General features: G+C 38.4%; 1 long non-coding RNA gene across 1 annotated transcript in view, besides 1 other annotated feature; it reads left to right on the top strand.

Moving 5' to 3' along the window:
- The window catches only part of LINC01950 (long intergenic non-protein coding RNA 1950), a 195,818-nt gene that overhangs the window by 28,001 nt on the left and 147,263 nt on the right, over positions 1–20,554 (top strand). The window contains exon 2 of the long non-coding RNA NR_104671.1: positions 13,063–13,130. This is a non-coding gene — a long non-coding RNA (long intergenic non-protein coding RNA 1950). The remainder of the gene's footprint in view (positions 1–13,062; positions 13,131–20,554) is intronic.
- Positions 3,943–4,696: an enhancer, noted in NCBI's record as "OCT4-NANOG-H3K27ac-H3K4me1 hESC enhancer chr5:106314019-106314772 (GRCh37/hg19 assembly coordinates)". NCBI's record gives its function as "activates a minimal SCP1, AML or CMV promoter by ChIP-STARR-seq in naive and primed H9 embryonic stem cells {active_cell/tissue: H9 hESC(naive and primed)}" and the evidence as "EXISTENCE:reporter gene assay evidence [ECO:0000049][PMID:30033119]".

Genomic DNA, 20,554 nt, shown 5'->3' with positions numbered 1-20,554 from the left:
AAAAAGGAGCGTCTATACAGGAGCTTAAATGGGCTGTACCCTGTAGCATTCCGAGGACAGGCCTGAATTCTGAGAAGGGAAAGTTGTAAAAGTTTTGTCCAGTCCTTTTTAAGTTGGTGGCTGAGCTTGGTGAGGTGTGTTTTTAAAAGACCTTTAGTCCATTCTACTTTTCTTGAAGACGGAGGACCGTAAGGGATATAAAGGTTTCACTGAATTCTAAGAGCCTGAAAAACTGCTTGGCTGATTTGACTAATAAAGGCTCATCTGTTATCAGACTGTAGGAATTATGTCTGACAGAAGGGAAGAAATGACTGCGGTGGCCTTCTCAGACCCTGTAGGAAAGGCCTCTACCTATCCAGTGAAAGTATCTACCTAGACTAAGAGGTATTTTAGTTATCTGACTCAGGGCATGTTGAGTAAAGCTAATTTGCCAGTCCTGGGTGGGGCAAATCCTCGAGCTTAATGTGTAGGGAAGGGAGGGGGCCTGAATAATCCCTGAGGAGTAGTAGAATAGCACATGGGACAGTGAGAAGTTATTTCCTTGAGGATAGATTTCCACGATGGAAAGGAAATGAGAGGTTCTAAGAGGCAGGCTAGTGGCTTGTACTATAGCATAACCTGCCTTTGCTGGTGTGTGGCGATTAGGCCTGGTGGAATCGCCATCAATAAATCAAGTGTGATCAGGGTGAGGAACAGGAAAGAAGGAAATCTGGGGAAATGGGGTGAATGTCAGGTGGATCAGAGAGATACAGTCATGGGGGTCAGGTGTGGTATAAGGAATAATGTGGGAGGCCAGATTGAAGTCTGTGCCAGGAACAACGGTAATTGTGGGAGACTCAACAAAGAGTGAGTATAGCTGAAGGAGCCAGAAAGCAGAAAGTGTATGTGTCAGGTATGAGGAAGAAAATAGATTTTGGAAGTTATGAGAACTGTAGAGAGTGAGTTGAGCATAGTTTGTGATTTTGAGGGCCTCTAAAAGTATTAAAGCTGCGGCAGCCGCTGCACGCAGACATGAGGGCTAGGCTAAAACAGTAAGGTCAAGTTGTTTGGACAGAAAGGCTACAGGGTGTGGTCCTGGCTCTTGTGTAAGAATTCTGACCATGCTAACCATGCCTAAGAAGGAAAGGAGTTGTTGTTTTGTAGAAGGTGCTGGGGTTTGAGAGATCAGTCGGACACGATTGGCAGGGAGAGCACGTGTGTTTTTATGAGAATTATGCCGAGATAGGTAACAGATGAGGAAGAAATTTGGGCTTGATTGAAGTAATGGGGGCTGTCTGTGAAGGTTTGCAGCAGTACAGCCTAGGTAATTTGCTGAGCTTGATGGGTGTCAGGGTCAGTCCAAGTGAAAGCGAAGAGAGGCTGGGATTAAGGGTGCAAAGGAATAGTAAAGAAAGCATGTTTGAGATCTAGAACAGAATAATGGGTTGTAGAGGCAGGTATTGAGGATAGGAGAGTATATGGGTTTGGCACCACAGGGTGGATAGGCAAAACAATTTGGTTGATAAGGCGCAGATCCTGAACTAACTTGTAAACCTTGTCTGGTTTTAGGACAGGTAAAATGGGGGAATTGTAAGGAGAGTTTATAGGCTTTAAAAGGCCATGCTGTAGCAGGCGAGTGATAACAGGCTTTAATCTTTTTAAAGCATGCTGCGGGATGGGATATTGGCATTGAGTGGGGTAAGGGTGATTAGGTTTTAGGTAAGGGGTGCATGATCGGTCGCCAAGGAGGGAGTAGAGGTATCTTATACTTGTGGGTCAAGGTGGGGGGATACAGGAGGAGGATGCAAAGGAGGCTTTGGATTGGGAAGAAGGGCAGCAATGAGATATAGATGTGGTCCAGGAATAGTCAGGGAAGCAGATAATTTAGTTAAAGTGTCTCAGCCTAATAAGGGAACTGGGCAGGTGGGGATACTAAAAAGGAGTGCTTAAAAGAGTATTGCCTAAGTTGGCACCAGAGTTGGGGAGTTTTAAGAGGTTTAGAAGCCTGGCCGTCAATACCTATAACAGTTATGGAGGCAAGGGAAACAGGCCCTTGAAAAGAAGGTAATATGGAGTGGGTAGCCTCCGTATTGATTAAGAAGGGGATGCACTTACCCTCCACTGTGAGAGTTACTCGAAGCTCGGCATCTGTGATTGTCTACAGGGCTTCCGAGGTGACTGGGCAGCGTCAGTCTTCAGCCGCTAAGCCGAGAAGGAGTCAGTCAGAGAGCCTTGGGCCAGAGTTCCAGGGGCTCTGGGAGTGTCTGCCAGGTGAGTTGCACCGTCTGATTTCCAGTGGGGTCCCGCACAGATGGGACACGGCCTAGGAGGAATCCTGGGCTGCAGGCATTCCTTGGCCTGGTGGTCAGATTTCTGGCACTTGTAGCAAGCTCATGGGGGAGGAGGTTCTGGAGGAACCCCTGGCTGCTGCGGTTCAGGCGTTTGGAAGTTGTTGTGTGCTGGAGATGTGGCTGGGGTTTGTCTCACAGTGGAGGCAAGGAATTGCAACTTTTTTTTATTATTGTACCCCTTGAAGGTGAGGTTAATTAAGTCCTGTTGTGGGGCTTGGGGGCCAGATTCCAATTTTTGGAGTTTTATTTAATGTCGGGAGCAGATTGGGTAATAAAGTGTATTTTGAGAATAAGACGGCCTTTTGACCTTTTAGGGTCTAGGGCTGTGAAGTGTCTCAGGATTGCCGCCAAACAAGTCATGAACTGGGCTGGATTTTTATATTTGATGAAAAAGAGCCTAAACACTATCTGATTTGGGATGAAGAAAAAGGAGCATTAACCTTGACTATGCTTTTAGCTCCAGCCACCTTTTTAAGAGTAAGTTGCTGGGCAGGAGGGGGAGGGCTAGTCACGGAACGAAACTGTAAGCCAGACCAGGTGTGAGGAGGGGAGGTGATAAAAAAGATTATAGGGTGGAGGAGCAGAGGCTGAGGAAGAATTGGGACCTAGCTTGGCCTGGCGAGGAGCAGCCTGGGGAGGAAGGGAGAGGTTGCATGGGTCTGTAGAAAAGGAAGATTAGAAAGACTCAGAGACGCTTGGGGTTGATACTGAGGGGACAGGCGGGAGGGAAAGAAGGAAGATTTGGGATGAGTTGCACTGGGCACAGAGACTAGGAAGGGACTTATGTGTAAAAGAATGCCTGGACGTCAGGCACCTCAGACCGTTTGCCTATTTTACAACAAGAACTCTTTAGTTCTTGCAGGATGGAAAAATTCAAAGTGCCATTTTCTGGGTATTTGGAAGTACAGTCGAGTTTGTATTGGGGTCAAGCGGCATTGCAGAAGAAAATAAGGCATTTAGGTTTTAGGTCAGGTGTGAGTTGAAGAGGTTTTAAGTTTTGGAGAACACAGGCCAAGGGAGTAGGAGGAATGGAGGGTGGAAGGTTGCCCATAGTGAAGGAAGCAAGCCTAGAGAAAAGAGTGAGTAGAGAAACGGAGGGAAAGGGTTCAGGGGTTCTTACCTTCCAGAAAAGTGGGAAAAGGGGTTGGGGTGCGGAAATAAGGGATGGGGTGCAGAAATAAGGGGTCGGGGGTGGAAATAAGGGATTGGGGCTCAGAGATATAAGAGGTTGGGGCGCGGAAATAAGGGATTGGGGCGCAGAGATATGAGGTTGGGGTATTTGCCCCTCCTCTAGAAAAGCGGGACTTGCTGCTAAGAGTGAAGAAGGGGACCGGCGCCGGAGTTTTGGGTCCACGGATAAAACGTGTCTCCTTTATCTCTCCCAGAAAATGAAAGGAATTGAAATTAAGAGAAGGGAGAGATTGAAGAATGGAAAGGAGAAAGTGGTTGAGGGACAGTGAGAGAGGTTGGAGAAGAGAGTAAGAAGAGGCTGCTTACCTGATTTAAAATTGGTGAGATGTTCCTTGGGCTGGTTGGTCTGAGGACCTGAGGTCGTAGGTGGATCTTTCTCACAGAGCAAAGAACAGGAGGACAGGGGATTGATCTCCCAAGGGAGGTCCCCTGATCCGAGTCACAGCACCAAATTTCATGCGCGTCCGTGTGAAGAGACCACCAAACGGGCTTTGTATGAGCAACATGACTTTATTTCACCTGGGTGCAGGCGGGCTGAGTCGGAAAAGAGAGTCAGCGATGGGAGATAAGGATGGGGCCGTTTTGTAGGATTTGGGTAGGTAAAGGAAAATTACAGTCAAAGGGGGTTTGTTCTCTGGTGGGCAGGAGTGGGGGTTGCAAGGTGCTCAGTGGGGTTGCTTTTTGAGCCAAGATGAGCCAGGAAAAGGACTTTCACAAGGTAATGTCATCACTTAAGGCAAGGACCGGCCATTTACACTTCTTTTGTGGTGGAATGTCATCAGTTAAGGTGGGGCAGGGCATTTTCACTTCTTTTGTGATTCTTCAGTTACTTCAGGCCATCTGGGCGTATATACGTGCAAGTCACAGGGGATGAGATGGCTTGGCTTGGGCTCAGAGGCCTGACAATTATGATCTCCACTTTGTAAAACAGATGTAACTTGTGTAATCCTATAAAGATGAAGATTGATCTTTTAATTAGCCATTAATTATCAGCCCTAATCGTTATGCTGGAAACATAATAGGTGGTTACTAGATACTAGTGACTAGCAGCTGGTAAAAATGCTAAATAGAGAGTTTTGCTTGAAAACTGACCTGTGTTAATATAATTGCATAGGAAACCAAATAAATAAAATTTTCTAGGCATTTTTGCATAAATAATTGTACATAGATAATTATACATTTTATATTTTTCTTCTGAATGTTTTCTGTAGATAAGTATAAAGAAATGCAAACAGTGATACAATAATATTTTTGGTAGAAAATAAAAATAATTATTTACTTACACATCCAAAAACTCACCATCTTGGTTGATTCATATCCTGGTTGTGATTGTCAGACTGATTCAAAGAACTAAAAAAGCAGAGGTGTTGCACATTAAGATCCAGATGTACTAACATAAAAGAAACTGAATCACACCCACCTGTATAACTCAAATCAGTGCAATAGAATTCTTCCTGTCTGGGCACTAAATGCTATAATGCAACACAATGAAAGCACAGAGGCATGGTCTGCTCAAAAATAGAAAAAAAATCTTTTATCAGAGTTTTCCCTATAGCAGACTGGCATTCACATGACAGAAGAAGATATAAAGAAGCTTATATTTCTTTATATTTTAGGAAAAGTAAACTGCAGAGCAGTGATTTTACTGCCTGTCTGCATTATAATTTCTGTGAACATGTAGTGCATGCTTACTTTAAAAGAATATATTTAGTAATATAGTCAGTAGTGTAATTCAGTTTTACATGGGAAAACTGAAATAAACTTTCTACAGTTTAAACTTGTGAAGATAAACACAGACAAAATATTAGTAGCTGCTGGATAACAAGTTTTAAAAGCATAGTTCAAGATAATTTGGGTTATATCAAATTAATGACTTCCTGGATTATCAGACAATAAAATTGTGAAACACAGCTAAAGAACAAATGATTTAATCTGATTTTCTCACAGCACTAGTACATTTACAACTCAACGGGGCTTGCATTGATAAAAGACAACCTGCGACATTAACTAGCAGGAATATTTTTTGTAGGTATCTCAGGCAATTATTTTGAAGCCAAGGAAATGAAGAAACACTTGTGGCTTGTTTTCTGTATTAGAGAAGTAGAAAAGGTTATTTTATATAAAGCAAATGAAACAGAAATATGGCATGTAGAATCTTACATTAAATGCCTGTATTAATAACCAAAAAACCCCCACAAATAATGAGCAAAATGTAGGTGTTCCCAAAAGACATTTGAAAATAAAGATTTTAAATGATCTTCATAGGAATGGAAAATTTAGGAGGTATTGTAAACCAAATGAGCTAGCACTTAAACTGCAAACAATTTAAAATATTTTAAAGATAGGCAGGGCATTTTGGGAAATTGTGGTTTTACATTGCAATCTTACTTGAGTATATTTTTGCAATAGTTCAGTATTTGCATTCTTTCTAAGGTGCAAAGGCTAAAAATTTAAGGGCAATCTTTGTCCTGAATGTCCATGGATATTTTATGAGAGGGAAAGGTAACCGTGATTCATAGAAAGGTCATCAAAATTTTTTAGAACAGTTAATTCTACTGCTATAAAAATTATCATGTTTGACTGAAAGTACATAAATATCACAGTTAATTAATAGAATAATTATCAACTTCATGTAAAAATTCTCAGTGTAAGTTTCTTTAATATTTTTTATTTTGATTGAGCTTTTAGTTTTAGTTAGAGTTTTATCTTTAAGAAATAGTTAACTGAAAAGTTTAGATAAACAATGACATAAATCCAACTGGATGGATATCAGTGTAATGGAACATAGATCTGTAATTTTTCATCTCAGGAAACTGAGGCCAAGATATATTGAAGATCAATTCCAAGTTATTTACTGGCAAAGCCTGGGTGAATTCTTAAGTCTTCCAACACCCAGTGGCCAGTTCCCTTGGCCACACTGCCTAGATCATATTGCTCTTGTGAGAGTTGAATATGCACGTATTAAACTGACTTTTAAATGTAATGTAAAATTTTGTTGCTTAAAGCAATCTTACAAAGAACGCTTTTAAGGCAAATAACATATGTGCAATATAACTAATAATTTTTTCAGTGGTGGAGAATACTCTGAAGCAGGCTCCAGAAGACACGGTTTCCAGCCCTACTGTGGCAATAACTAAGAGTAGACTTAGGGCATTGCCTGTAACTTCACTCTCTAATCATTTCCTTCATACAAACAAAGTCAGATCACATGATTTTTGAAACACTTTCTAGTTCTTTGAGTTCAGTAAAGGAATTTCAGTGATCTACAAGTAGCCCTTCTCTTCAACATGAAGGAAAGAAAAGAGTGTGTATAGAATTGGAATTGTTAATAGAAATCATTATAATGGCCCTGTGAGCCATTATTTTTTGCAAGGCCCACATTTCAGAGTTTCTGATATGTACCTTCTCAAGCTCCTGCTATAGAATCAATCTTATCCTTGCAGTATAATATAATATGCTTTATTGTAATAGTTAAATGTGATAAATATTGACATATAGAAGAGTAAATCTAACACACGCACAGACATACACATATACACACAACTTTTTTAGTTATAGGAGTAAGTGAAATGGCTAATCCTTTTACCATACATATGAATCTTTTAGCGTACTTTATATTTTATCTGAACAACATATGCTGAGTTTTTAATGCAGTTAGAAAAGGATGAGCTCAGCTCATATTTTCCCTTCTTATCAGTCTTAGTAAAGAAAAGAGATCCTTTGTGGGAAGGAAAATGAATGAGCTGTCTTGGATTTGTTACACTTAATGAAGTACAATCATCTGTTTATTTTCTCTTAGTATATCCAGTGTTTTTTGGGATACTTAAAGTTTGGTGACTATCATACTGTCACTTTCTCTTTGATACATTCCTATCACTTTCCTTCCATTTTTGTATTTACTTTTGAGAGTGGAGTAAAAGTTATTCATCTTGTGCTCTCTTGACAAGCCTCAAACTTGGGAGGCTAGAAGAGTTCATTAAAATTAGCATGGAAATGTTGGGAAAATAATAAGTTAAATAAGTAAATGGAAGCTTGATGTATGAGATTAATAATCACCATTTATTTGAATCCTTAAACACAACCATATCAGTTGAACCATTGCTTTTGGCTTTACTTTTTTTAATCCTAGGTGGTATGGTTTGGCTGTGTCCCCAACCAAATATCATCTTGTAGCTCCCATGATTCCCACGTGTTGTGGAAGGGACACAGTAGGAGGTAATTGAATCTTATGTATATAGTATATTCCAGTTTAGTTAAAGAATTATGATAATGTACAAGTAGCCCTCCCCTTCAACATGAAGAAAGGAAACAGCTGTGTGTGTGTGTGTGTATACATATGTATGTGTGTGTGTGTATATATATATATTTTCAATTCTCTCTCAATATATATAAAACACATATATATGTTTCCAATTCTATTGTGTGTACATGTGTATGTGTGTGTGAGTACACACACATACACACACACATATATATATAATGTATTTATATGAATGGAAGTTTTCTGTCTGGGAATAACTTTAGAGTCAAGAGTCAAAGTAACTCAATATAAAAAGTGGAAAACATATTTTGAAACATGACAGAAAAATAACTACATTGTGATAGTTGTAATTTAGCTAGGCTTTTTATCTATTTCTTGATCCAGTAAGGAAATGGTGTCCATTTGAGTCTACTAGATAGAGAAAATTATTGGTGAATGCATTTGGAATTATTGATTATGCTGAGGCATAGTGAGAGTTGTTAAAAGGAGACTGAATCAGGGAAATTTAGCTGAATTCTCTTCCCTCATGGTTCTGCCCTTTTCTCCCCTAACCATCCCCCCTCTCCTTGCAGAACCTTCAAGATAACAGGTATAAACCCAATTCAAAAATGTTGCTGAAAAGACATTTATAATAATGTGTGATAATGAAGCAAGAAAAGCATAACATAAGGCATATTTATCAATCCAATAACATGCACTTGCCTTGATGTGAGAAAAAGGACTGAAACATGAGCTTAGTGCCAAACGACAGAAGGCTGTATGAGTGCATGGTAAAGAGTTTGGTTGAATTCTTTAGCTATCAGTGGGAGTAACAGTAACAGAACACTCTCAAGTTTCCTTTTCTACATATCTCCTTCCATTTTAGGATCGTTTTCATGCCTGTCTTCAATAGATTGTGCAATTATTTTTAGGCTTTAATTCTCTTTCTCTTTGTTCCTTCCCTTTCTGTGTTTTTCAAGTGTTTCAACCTCAGTTCACATCTGTCAGGGTACACGTTGTTAGACATAGCTCTGGGGTGCCTTATTTGGCAAATTTAGCAAATTTGTTCCAATTCTCTTCATTAGTATTTATTAACTTGATAAAATTTTCAATCCTGACAGCATATATAAATGCACACCTGTGGGTCAGAGTAGGAATTTTCCCCCTCAGTGATCAGATGATGTGAGATAGCTAGCTCATGCACCTGCGGAAAATGTTTAGGAAGTCTTAAGAGTGAAAAGACATTCGAATCACTACTGGGAACAAGGAAGGCTATTTTGTTTATAAAGGAGTATACGTAGAAATATTTGTGGAGCTAAAACACCAAATATTAAAAGACAAGGTAATAAACCATGCTTTAAACATGCCAAATATTATGTAAACTTTAAACATGGTTTCCAATAGTAAGAAATGCAGATGCCATTAAAGGTTTGTCAAATAGCCATTGCAAGATTTAGAGAAGCCCAACTGGGATCCAGACTCTCATCTTACATAAGCCTGTAGGGATTTTTTAAATACTTTTAAAGGAACAAGTATTTTATCATGAACCTGAATTTGCCTGCTAGCTAATTCAGACTCAATGGACATTTTTTGTTTGATTTTGGTGTGTGTGAAACTCTACAAAGTAGTTGGATAAAATTCCACATTGTCTGGTAGGTAATGAGTCTGGGCTGAATCAAATCTTGTCAGGTTCAGATTAGAGTTGACCCTATCTTCAGGGTCACATTTTCCAATCCTCACACCACTTTACAAGCTTCAGTGTGCATGAAATTATAAAACAAGGAGCATGAGAAAATATCTCCCAGGTTGTTTTTGTGGCAAGAAAGCCCAGAGAAATAAAGTGATTTCCAGCACTTTGAGTTTTATTACTTTCTGAAGAAAGAAAATTTGGTTAGGGTCAGTTTTCAAGTTTAACAGTTCATCAGCCCATAATTGCACTCATTATTACTGTAGCCAGCTTTATATTGGAGTTTGATTAATAACGATATGCACTTCAGTAACGCTTTCCATTAAGTGGCACTAATTATACTGTAACTGCTGTTCAACAACCAAGCAAGTGTAACTACAATGTCATTTTTATGAAGCCAGATTTGTTCATAAGGATACTTTGATAATGCTAATGTGGGAGTGAAGTAGCAAAAAATGTAGTAACAAAGTTGCTATTGCTTTAAATCCTATCCTCAGAATCCATGGTATTCTGAGGTTTCTATTGGTAGAAGAAACTTTTGATAGGGACTCAGCGAAAGTCTTTGGAATATAATTAACATGCATTATCTGCTTAGGATTACTGTGAGTACTAGGAAACCACATTGTTGATATAAAAGCATAAGACTTAATTGGAAGACTAGGCTAAAATCTTCATGCTAGTCAGCGATTACTCTGATCTTAGGGAAAGTACTATTCTCTCTGAAATTACCACATGTGCATAATGATGCCTGCTCCTATATTTGTGATGTTAAGTCTAAATGACATACTGTGTATGTGAAGATGCCTAATTTAGTGCCTAGTCCATAGTAAGGGCTCTTTCAATCTTTCATGAAGGGATGTTGTCTTCATTCTTTATCATCATTCAGTAGTAGGGAATAGACTCTTGTTCTCTCAATAAGATTTCCACTTGAATTAAGATTAAATAAATACAAATGCTTAAAAATACTTACATATGTAGGGAGGAAAATGTTAAACTCAAACAGAAAAGCATAAAACAATCACCATTATGAAGCTGAAGAAACCATAGGAAAGAGGGAGAGGGTCTAAGTTTGATTTGCAAGGTGGGATATTACATAGAGAGAATGCCATCCATATATAGGAGGGCTGGGGGCAAAGAGTTTAGCCAGATCTCAAGGAAGAATAAATAACTAGAAATAATGAAGCAATCTGGAGTGAAAAAGTTGCACAAGATAGTGAACACCCAGTACTTAAGAATGGTTGGGATGGTTGGGTTTTTCCGTACTATTGGTTCTTCTGCTAATCATTGGATTTCCCACCCCCCCCCCCGAAAAAATGTTGCCCAATGAAAAGAATTAGAACTTACATAAAATAAATTATTATACTACCCAGAGTAGGAGGGAGGATTTTTTTTTTTTTTTAAAAGAGGAACCACAGGGAATGGGCGGTGTTCCAACATCTATAACAGTATGCTTTGCAGATAATGTATTTAATAGTGAGTAATGATAGATTAATTTAATTAGAATTCTTGCAGGAAATCAGAGATATTTGCTGGAGAGAAGGTAAGATGATCAAAGTATGATCACAATTTCTTCATATTGTAATCGTGTCTTGCTGTTATATCCTTCATATAAACACCCCCATTAAAAAAGCTTTTTTCATCCGCTCAAAAATCACCGTATAAAAATTAGCTCAAACATATTGTGGGACTCTGTGTGAATGGTGGTATGTTAGGAAATGTGGGGAGAAATCACTTACATATAATTGTTCATCTGCAGTTCTGGGTTATGAATATTAAATATTAGAAATATTATATATTAGAATAATAAAAGAAAAGAAAAAATGAAAGGAATTCTCAAATGTTTCAATTTTAAATGATGTGCCATTTAATCCCAGTGTCTAATAACATGAATTCTTGCTGGTGCCCAACTGCATCATGTAATGATTTAGTAATGGGCTTTGTAGCACACCCAGTTGAAAGAGCAAGATCTCTGGAGTTAATATTAAGGGGTAAGAAATTTGGGTGTAATGAAAAATCATACAGTTGGCGAACTTACTGAAAGGGATGGGTTCTTTCTTAATACCAGCATCACTGATTAATAGCTGGTGAGCACCAGTAATTAAACATTTGGCTCTGATTATCTTGGTTGTAGTAAACTCTCAATTTTTGTTTAAATTTGTTGCAGAGGTTTTTACATTTTCCTTCAGAGGATTTTGTGGAATCCAATTTATCTAAAAAAAAATATAATGATGAGGAAATTATATGGTCCCATAACAGGGATCTAGGATGGGAAAGAATCACACTAACAATGTGCTGAGCCACCACATGAACCCAGAGGCAACACCCCAGGAAAAGAGAACTCAATACCACCTTGAGCCTAAGGTGGTCTTGAATCTCTAACCTACACGTGGAATATTTAATCAGCAGTCTATTTGTAGTTTCCTATAAATCTATAAGAATATGATTTTGTACAGAATTGTAACTGTTCAAGAGTAGATAGTTTGGTGTTCCCACTTATGTAGGTATATATATTCACAAAGAGTTATGTAGGCTAAAGATGTTATAAATGTAACCCTTTTAGCTTTTAATACTTTTTTCCAAATAATTTATTAACATTCATTAGTCTACTTTTTCAACTGTTTTCCCACATACACATCATGTATTCTTTTCCTGATATATTTATCTGTAAAAAATAGAAACTTATTATTTTATGTTCCAATACAACACAAATCTAATACACACACACACACACACACATACAATTTTTAAAATGTACTATACTTTGGACAGTATTATTCTACATTCATGCACAGTATTTATGCCATCAAGCTTTACTTATACAAAAATCAGTAATGATCTTTACTTATAATACCATTTACAATTATCTATAAATTATCAGAACTGGGCTGGACCTCTATTTGAATTGTTAGAGCTGTTTGAAACATAGGAGTGGTGGGAGAATAAGGCCTATCAAAGAAGTATACAAACATATGCATGTGTATATGCACACCCCCTCACATTTGAGTGTATTTTGCTGAATACCTCTGTATCTAGATATTTTTGGGTGTTTCTCCAATTAAACATGTCTTAAATAAAGAAGTGCTTTTTTTTTTACTTTATAGTCTATGCACCCAAGATATATAGGATGATATCTATAGAAAAATATAAATGGTTCACATCCTATTTATTTTTAAAATACTTGCACATTTTAATGTTTTAGTGAAGATTGTAGATCTCTGCCTCTGTGTGTGTGTGTCTGTGTGTGTGTTGTGGGTGTGCATATGTATAATAATAGATAGCAAAACACAAGTTTTACTTTTCTTCTCGAAAGGCAGATTTAATGTTATTTTAAAATAAAAAGGTTGGTACCTCTATAAAAATATATACATATGTATAGAAATTATCATTTTTAATTATCATCCTAATACACACATTGAAAATCCAAATAAAAATACATGAATAGATTGATCTATCTATCCATCTATCTATCATCTATCAATCATCCATATCTATATAACTAAGAATGATCAAACTGTACTGGATAGTCTTACCTTTAGCCCCCAATATGATCTTTAGTTCATAATTTTGATCTATATTCCAGACCCTTATAATATATCCTTTCTTTTCTGCTTTAGACTCTTACCAGTTGTTTTAATTGCTAAGACAACCCAGTTCTGCATGAGCTACAGCCAACTTCACAAAGGTACAACCTGAGACTGTCCCATTGCATGTCTGTGCTGCATACATTTTGCCTTATACCTGTAGCTTCTTGGTTCACACTAAAGCATGAGATATCTTAGGGCTCTTTCTGAGTCCTCACATGCACAAGCTAGATGTGTGTGAGTTAAACCCTGTGAGTTGAACCAATGAAAGGCAGCTGTGGGGTGACCTATGGGATACAGGAGCTGATAGATACATGTTCTCCCTTCTTCTAAGAATAGACCATACTGAGAAGCAGTTGTTTATGTGGCCTCCTGGAAAAAGGATACCAATGAAATCAACCACTCTGTTGCATTTGATCCAAAGCAGTGGCCAGCTAAATGATACATTATTTTATTGGTGTGCCCTTATTTCTATCTTTCTTCTCATTTCCCTCCCTCCCTCTCCCTGGGATTAAACATTTCAATAAAAGTTCCAGGCTTCAGGCTTTGCCCTCTGGGGAACTCAGGTTACAACCTGAGTCCACTGGCAATAAAGATTCATTTGCTGATGGTATTTGGTGATGATAGCTCATGCATATATTGGAATCACAATTACTAAGGATTTAGTCTACAGCAAAATAAGAAAAACTTGAGATAGAAGGTGAGATGCTGGGTTTTACAATGGCAGTTGCTCTTTAATGGTATAGTGTAAAGAGAATACAAGAGTCGGGAAGTGACCTGGCTATTGTTAACAGCATTAAAATCTTTGATATAAAAGAATGATAGGCTAAAGAAAACCAAATGCCAGTTGAAGCCCAAAGACCTTTATTGCAGCTTGTAAAGAAACTGTTGTTCTGTGATAATAGAGCAGACTGCACTGAATATACAGCCTGAACAGGTCTCCTATGTCAAAATCAGGTCTCTAATAGAAAAAGACAGGCATTCTAAGACCTTTTGTGAGGCTGTTGGATGGGGCAAGATGGAGATTCTTGAATCACTAGATTCCTATGAACCTTCTGGGCTGGCAGAAGCAACCCCTTCCTTAATGCTGTCTTGCAGAAGCAAACTGCTTTTCTCTGAAACCATGCAATAAATGCACTGAGGCAGATGCCTTGCAAGATGATGTTTGTTCTCAGCAAAATTTGCCCCCACCACCCCTCATTGTCTTCAAGCTAATCACCACAGTCAGTCAGATCTCTCAGCAAAGCTATTTCTCAGGAAGGAGTTAGCCTATTTACTTAAGGAAGTTCAGTATCTGGTAATATGTACCAACAGGGGCAATGGAAGATGCATGGGGGAGTGGAAATGAGTGTGTTCACCAGGAGAATATGGAATATAAAGCAAATAGTGGAGAATTTACTGATTCTCTGGCTTTCAACAAGCAGAAGTGATGAGCAACCCATCACTTGGGATTCAATATTCTGACAAGAACCCTAGAATCTAGTAGTAATAATCCGCTGGTTTAGCTCCTTAAATTGAAGGCATCAGCATGCCCTCCAATATAGTATATTTTATTTTCAAAATTCAAAGCAGACCACCAAGCCTTGTATCTCTTTCTTAGTAGTAGGGAGTAGTAGGAGTAATAGTAGATAAGGAGGTGAAGTGAAATAGCCTCTCTTTTGCTTTAGAGGGGATTTCCAAACATGCCTCCAGACAACTGGATCCTAAAATCTTCTTTGATGCAGTGGGCTCCTAGACCCTTTTGGGGTTTATCTCTGTCTCCCTGACACAGAATGTTTTAGTAGGGTATCCAGAGTGTTTTCCACTTCCTTCTTGTCAGAATGAATTGGTTTGATGTCATCAATATAATAGGACAGCTAACATGCTGTAGAATGTCAAGATGATCTTGTCCCTATGACTATATTTCTATAAAAAAGCACAAGACATAAAACAGCTTTGGGGCAATACATTGAATGTGAACTTCTATATCTGCCATGTGAATGCAAATTGTTTTTTTCTTGTCTCTTTTTCGGGGTAGAGAAGAAAGCATTTGCCACAAGATCAATTGCCATATACCAGAAGATAGAGGCTGTGGATCTTCTCTAGTGATGACACATTTAGCATGGCAGGTGTGATTGAGACTACTCTCTGGTGAAGTTTTCATTAGTTTACTGTCACTTGCCATATTCCATCTGTTTTCTGAGGTCCGGAGAGGTGACTTGAATGGAGTGATGGGAAATATTATCACGGAATCCAATAAGTTTGATAGTTGCACTAATCTCTGCGATGCTATTCTGCCTGAGCTGTTCTATTGCTTCTGATCTACTATTTTGGCCAAGGCAAAGTGGGTGCAGTGAGCAGTTTCAGAAACTCCTGCTTGACCCTTCCTACATAATAATCATTACTCCGCTGATCAGAGGGGCAATGTGAGAGTTCTGTCAACTACAAAATATATTTACTCTGATTATATACTCAAGGGAGCAGGTAAATAACCATAGGATGAAACCATTACAAATAATCACAGAGTGAAACCACTATAAATAGCCACCAAGTGGAGCCATTCTAGATAGACTTGGTTCTAAACTACATTTATGATGTGACCTTCATAAGCCTTACATTTAGTCAGAAGAACTTAAAAGTATTTTAAGTCCCCTAATCTTGGTGTCATCAAATCATGTTTTTCAGTGTCCTTAAAATTCTGGCTATTCTCACCAACCCTGTACATGTAGTTACTGGGCAAATAGCCAGGGGTATGTGTTTGGCGGGACGATTGATAAAATATTTACTATTTATTTGCAGAAGAGCTAACCTTGGTACATCTGTGGAATGTGTGGTTTTAGAAAGAAGTACTTGCAGTAAATTCATGATAACAGGAAGAAAGGCATGAGAAACAGACACAGAAAATTTATTATGATTAAGTTTATGTGTCAGCGTGACTAGGCCACAGGGTGCCTAGACATTTGGTTGCTCATTATTCCGGGTATGTCTATGAGGGTGTTTCTGGATTAAATTAACATTGGAACTGGTAGACTGAAAGCAGATTGCTGTCCCTGATGTGTGTGTACTCCATTTAATCTAGTCTTGAATTCCTGACCTCAGGTGATCCATTAATGCAACAAAAGGCATTAATATAACAAAAAGGCTGACCCTACTATGAGTAAGAGGAAATTTCTCTCTGCCTGACTGTCTTCAGATGGACATTTTTTTCCTGCCTTTGGACTTAAACAGGAACTGGCTATTCCTGCATCTCTAGCCTGTAGGCCTTCACAAAGGAACTATGACATAACTTCTCCTGGTTTTCAGGCCTTTGGACTCAGACTTGAGCTACACCATCAGCTCTCCTGGGTGTCCAGATTGCTGACTGAAGATCTTGGACTTGTCAGCCTTCATCATCATGTGAGCCAATTTACAGTAAATCACACACACTTGTCCACTGGTTCTGTTTCTCTGGAGAACCCCAACCAACGGAGCAGAGACACTGGTAGATTTGGTAGAAAGAAAGTAGGGAAATTCTCTTCTAATTGTTTATATCTTCAGTGAAGAATGAAGGGAGTTTATCAGCAGAGAATGAGGATGAGGGGATATTACTATAGTAAGCGCAAGCTTGTTGTTTGTGTTGTTTGCATTTAAAAGAATGGCTGAGGAGACATGGCTGCTTGTTGAAAGCCACAGTTCCTATATTTGGGCTGCTAGGGTTATTCTGAAGCCCCAGGAAAGGAGATGGATTATGTTTAATCAACTCTCAGGGTTTTACAGTTTAAAACATAATTTGATATTTGTAATCTCATTCAATCTTTCCAATAATACTGTCATACCAATTTGATAATATCTCCATTTTTTTTCAAATAAGAAAAATAATTTTCAGAGACCTTTAATTCAATTAGATGATATTGGTAGGCCTGCTTTAATTTATGTTCTCTACCAATTATTGGCTATGTTCCAACTCATATAAGATGGCACATTGTGACCTAGGCACTGAACCAAGCTCCAACTCTGAACTCTATACTGCTATACCTGTTTCTCTTGTGTTGGAAAAGTGCATTATCATTTTCTCAGTTGCTCAAGGTAAATATTGCATATTGTCATTCTTGGTTCCTCTCTTTCTCTTGCTCCAGTACCAAGTTTGGCTGACTCTATCTCCTATAAATATCCTAAGTGCATCTACTTCTCTCTCTTTTCATACCTTTTTGGTCCAAGCAAACTTAGCGTATGACCTGAATTTCTACAGTAATCTGCTCCCTAATCATTCTCACTTCTATTCTTGCTCAATCAATCCTTTCTCCACTCAGCAGTCAAAATAGTCGCTTAAAAATACAAATTATAGGCTGGGTACAGTGGCTTACACCTGTAATCCCAACACTTTGGGAGGCTGTGGCGGGTGGATCACCTGAGGTCAGGAGTTCAAGAGCAGCCTGGCCAATATGGCGAAACCCCATCTTTACTAAAAATGCAAAAATTAGTTGGGCAAGGTGGCGGGTGCCCGTAATCCCAGCTACTCTGGAGGTCAAGGCAGGAGAATCGCTGGAACCCAGAAGGCGGAGGTTGTAGTGAGCCAAGATTGTGCCATGGCACTCTAGCCTGGACAACAAGAGCAAAACTCTCTCTCCCAAAAAAAAAAAAAAAATCCAAATTATATTATGTCATTCCTCTGCATAAGATTCACAATACTTTCCCACCACATGTAAAGTGCACTTGGAATGCCTTACCCTGACTTTCATAACTGGCTAGCTCATGCCCTCTTCCAGTTTTCCTCCATGACACTTACCCAGGGCCCATCAGCCACACTGATTTTCTATCTACTCCTTGGCCATGCCAAACATACTCTTGCTTTAGCTTCCTCTACTTCTTCCCCCTTACTCTTGCATGACTTTGTCTAAACATGCAAATATCAGCTTAAATGTCTTCACATTAATGTGGGTTTTCCTGACTACTCAATATAAAATAGCCATCCAGGCACCAGCTATCAATCTTTACTGAATCTTTATGGAGAAAGTATCAAAATGTTAATTAAGGCTTGACTGGGGAAGGATGTGTTCAGAGGTGTGACAGATAAATGCTAGGGCAGGACTGTTCAGTGGAGCAAAGATAAAAAAAGTCTACAGCAGGTAGTTTATTGAAAAAATACTTCTTGTCCCCAGAGACCTTTGGAGAACAACTAGGTTAAAAAAGAGAAGACAGTGAATAAATGTGAGCCTTAGGGAGAGAAGAAGAGAAACATTACATGTGGATTTTATGAGTATTGCTGACAGGATAAACATTTTCTACATGAATTACAGTGTTTAAGACAATCTTTGGGATTAAAATATGTCTTGTAATTTTGCACTTAGTTAATAACTTTACTACTTGATAAGCTTTGCTATCTGAATAGTACATTGGCCAGAAAGATAAATTGGTATAAAAAGGATGTTATAAACACTACTAATAAGAGCTAATGTTATGATTTACTTAAATATTGATTGAACTGTTTTATACTACTCAAACTAATACTAGCCACATGGATTAACTTTATTACAATACAGTGTAACTGTAACAGTAGTCAATTATTTATGAATCGGTGGAAACATCTGGAAGCTTGACCTCTTTTTTACATTAAAAGTACTTGGAGCATTTGCTGTGTTTCACTATTAGTGCCACTTCAATTATTACATGCTCTGCCAATGTTTTGTGTAACTGGACTGATTTCCTTCTGACTCATAAGGTCAGTTGGCTGTGAAGGGATTGAGTTTTCTAGGTACTGCTTCCTGCATCTATCTCTTTATTGATACAGTGCCCTGCTACCTCTGCTTACACACAGCAGAAAATGTGTTACTCTGGCACTACATAGCCAGAAATGAGAAGCTACTTTATTTTCCTGTGTCAATGTTATATTCATGTTCTTTAGTCCTTCTTTCCTTTTCTGATATATGCATATATATGTATATACATACACAAACATATGACTAAATTTTCCTCATTTGTATATAAAAAATAAAATTACCTTACCCACAGGTAGAATTTATTTCAGCTGGTTAAGAAAGAATGCTTCTGTTTTATATCAAAGATATTTCCAGTGTACTTTGCATAGAAAGTAGAGATGGAAAAAGTGTACGTTCAAGGACTGATGACATATGGGCTCAAATATATGCAAACATAGATATATCTGCATAGCTGAATATGCAAGTCTATCTCTGATAAAACAAAAAAACACATAACTAAGTGGACATATCCTACTTAGGTGGATGATTCCAAATTGCAGACAAGTTATTTTTGTTTGGCTTTGTTGCCAGGTTTCCATCCTAATGCATTTTGCTTAGGCTTCTTATTTTCATTCATGGAATATTTATTGTGCATTTTCCATGTATCTGACATGATACTAGACACTGGAGATCAAAGTGATGAATAAGAGATAGTCTCTGGTTCTAATGGGTTTGTATCATTTCATGTGGTTTGAACACGGAGCAGCATAGCACCAGAGTGAAATGTTTAAAGATTTTAAATAAATAAAAACTTAAATGAGAGATAAGAGTAACTGTTCTGAAATGAAAAACAAACACAAACAATCAAAACAAAATACCAGTTTAATAATTAATCTAATTATTTCCCAAAGCTCCTATAGTGTCTTAAATCAGGATGGGACAATATCAATATTGAAATAACTGAGGTGAAATAACGGAGCCAGTGATGTGAGTCCCTAGAAGGACCCATGTAAGAAACTCATTTGGAAAATGAACCTTTCTCATTTTAATAGAAAACCAATGCTTGGGAAGACATAAACCCCTTAAATGTGTGTATGGAAATCTGCCAGCGTTGGAGAGGACGTAGCACACTTTGTCTCCTGAAATAGCAGGGAAGTATACGTATCTAGAGCTTGTCTCACTCCTTCGCCATCCCAGAAGTATACATATCTAGAGCTTGTCTCACTCCTTCACCATCCCTGCTGCTTTCTGTGCTCTGGTGCTCTGCTTTGTGTCACTTCACCCCATTGCTCTCATCACTGATGATTGGATCAGCAATTTGACTCCAAAGCCATCTTAGAAGATTATGTATGGAGTATCCTGGCCCTAGAGTTCTAACAAGCAAACGTTCCCTAAACTAAGTGTGATTGACTGACCCAACACACCAACTCCCTTGAGAATGTCTGAATGTGAGATATAAAGTTAGAGGCCACAGCTGGCAGGAGTAAAGTTTTAAGGATGGAACAAGCCAGTGGAGTGCTTGTGATTAGAAGACAGACTCAGTAAAATCTGGTAGGTGGTAGAGCTCCCACCTCAAGTAAGAGGCATAACACTGAAAAAAAGGTAGTTGGATTGAGGTTGCTGGGTAGAGGCCAGAGCAGTAGAAGCAAATATAGAAAATAGCTGAGTCACCTTAACTGTGGATCTCTGGAGTAGTGAGCAAGGAATGCCTGCTTCTCAAGGGACTAAACTTCAGGCGTCCATCCCCTAAGCAGGTGGCGACCCCTTTAATTAAGAAGCACCATACTTGGTGTTTCCATAGAAGGAAAGGAAACACTCATATCACTTTCCCCATAGCAGGCCCACTTAAGAAAAACAGATTTTTTTTTTTT

The sequence above is a fragment of the Homo sapiens genome, chromosome 5, assembly GCF_000001405.40.
Source record: "Homo sapiens chromosome 5, GRCh38.p14 Primary Assembly".
NCBI lineage: Eukaryota > Metazoa > Chordata > Mammalia > Primates > Hominidae > Homo > Homo sapiens.
Note: the sequence above shows the minus strand (reverse complement) of the source record. Positions and strands in the feature narration are given on the sequence as shown.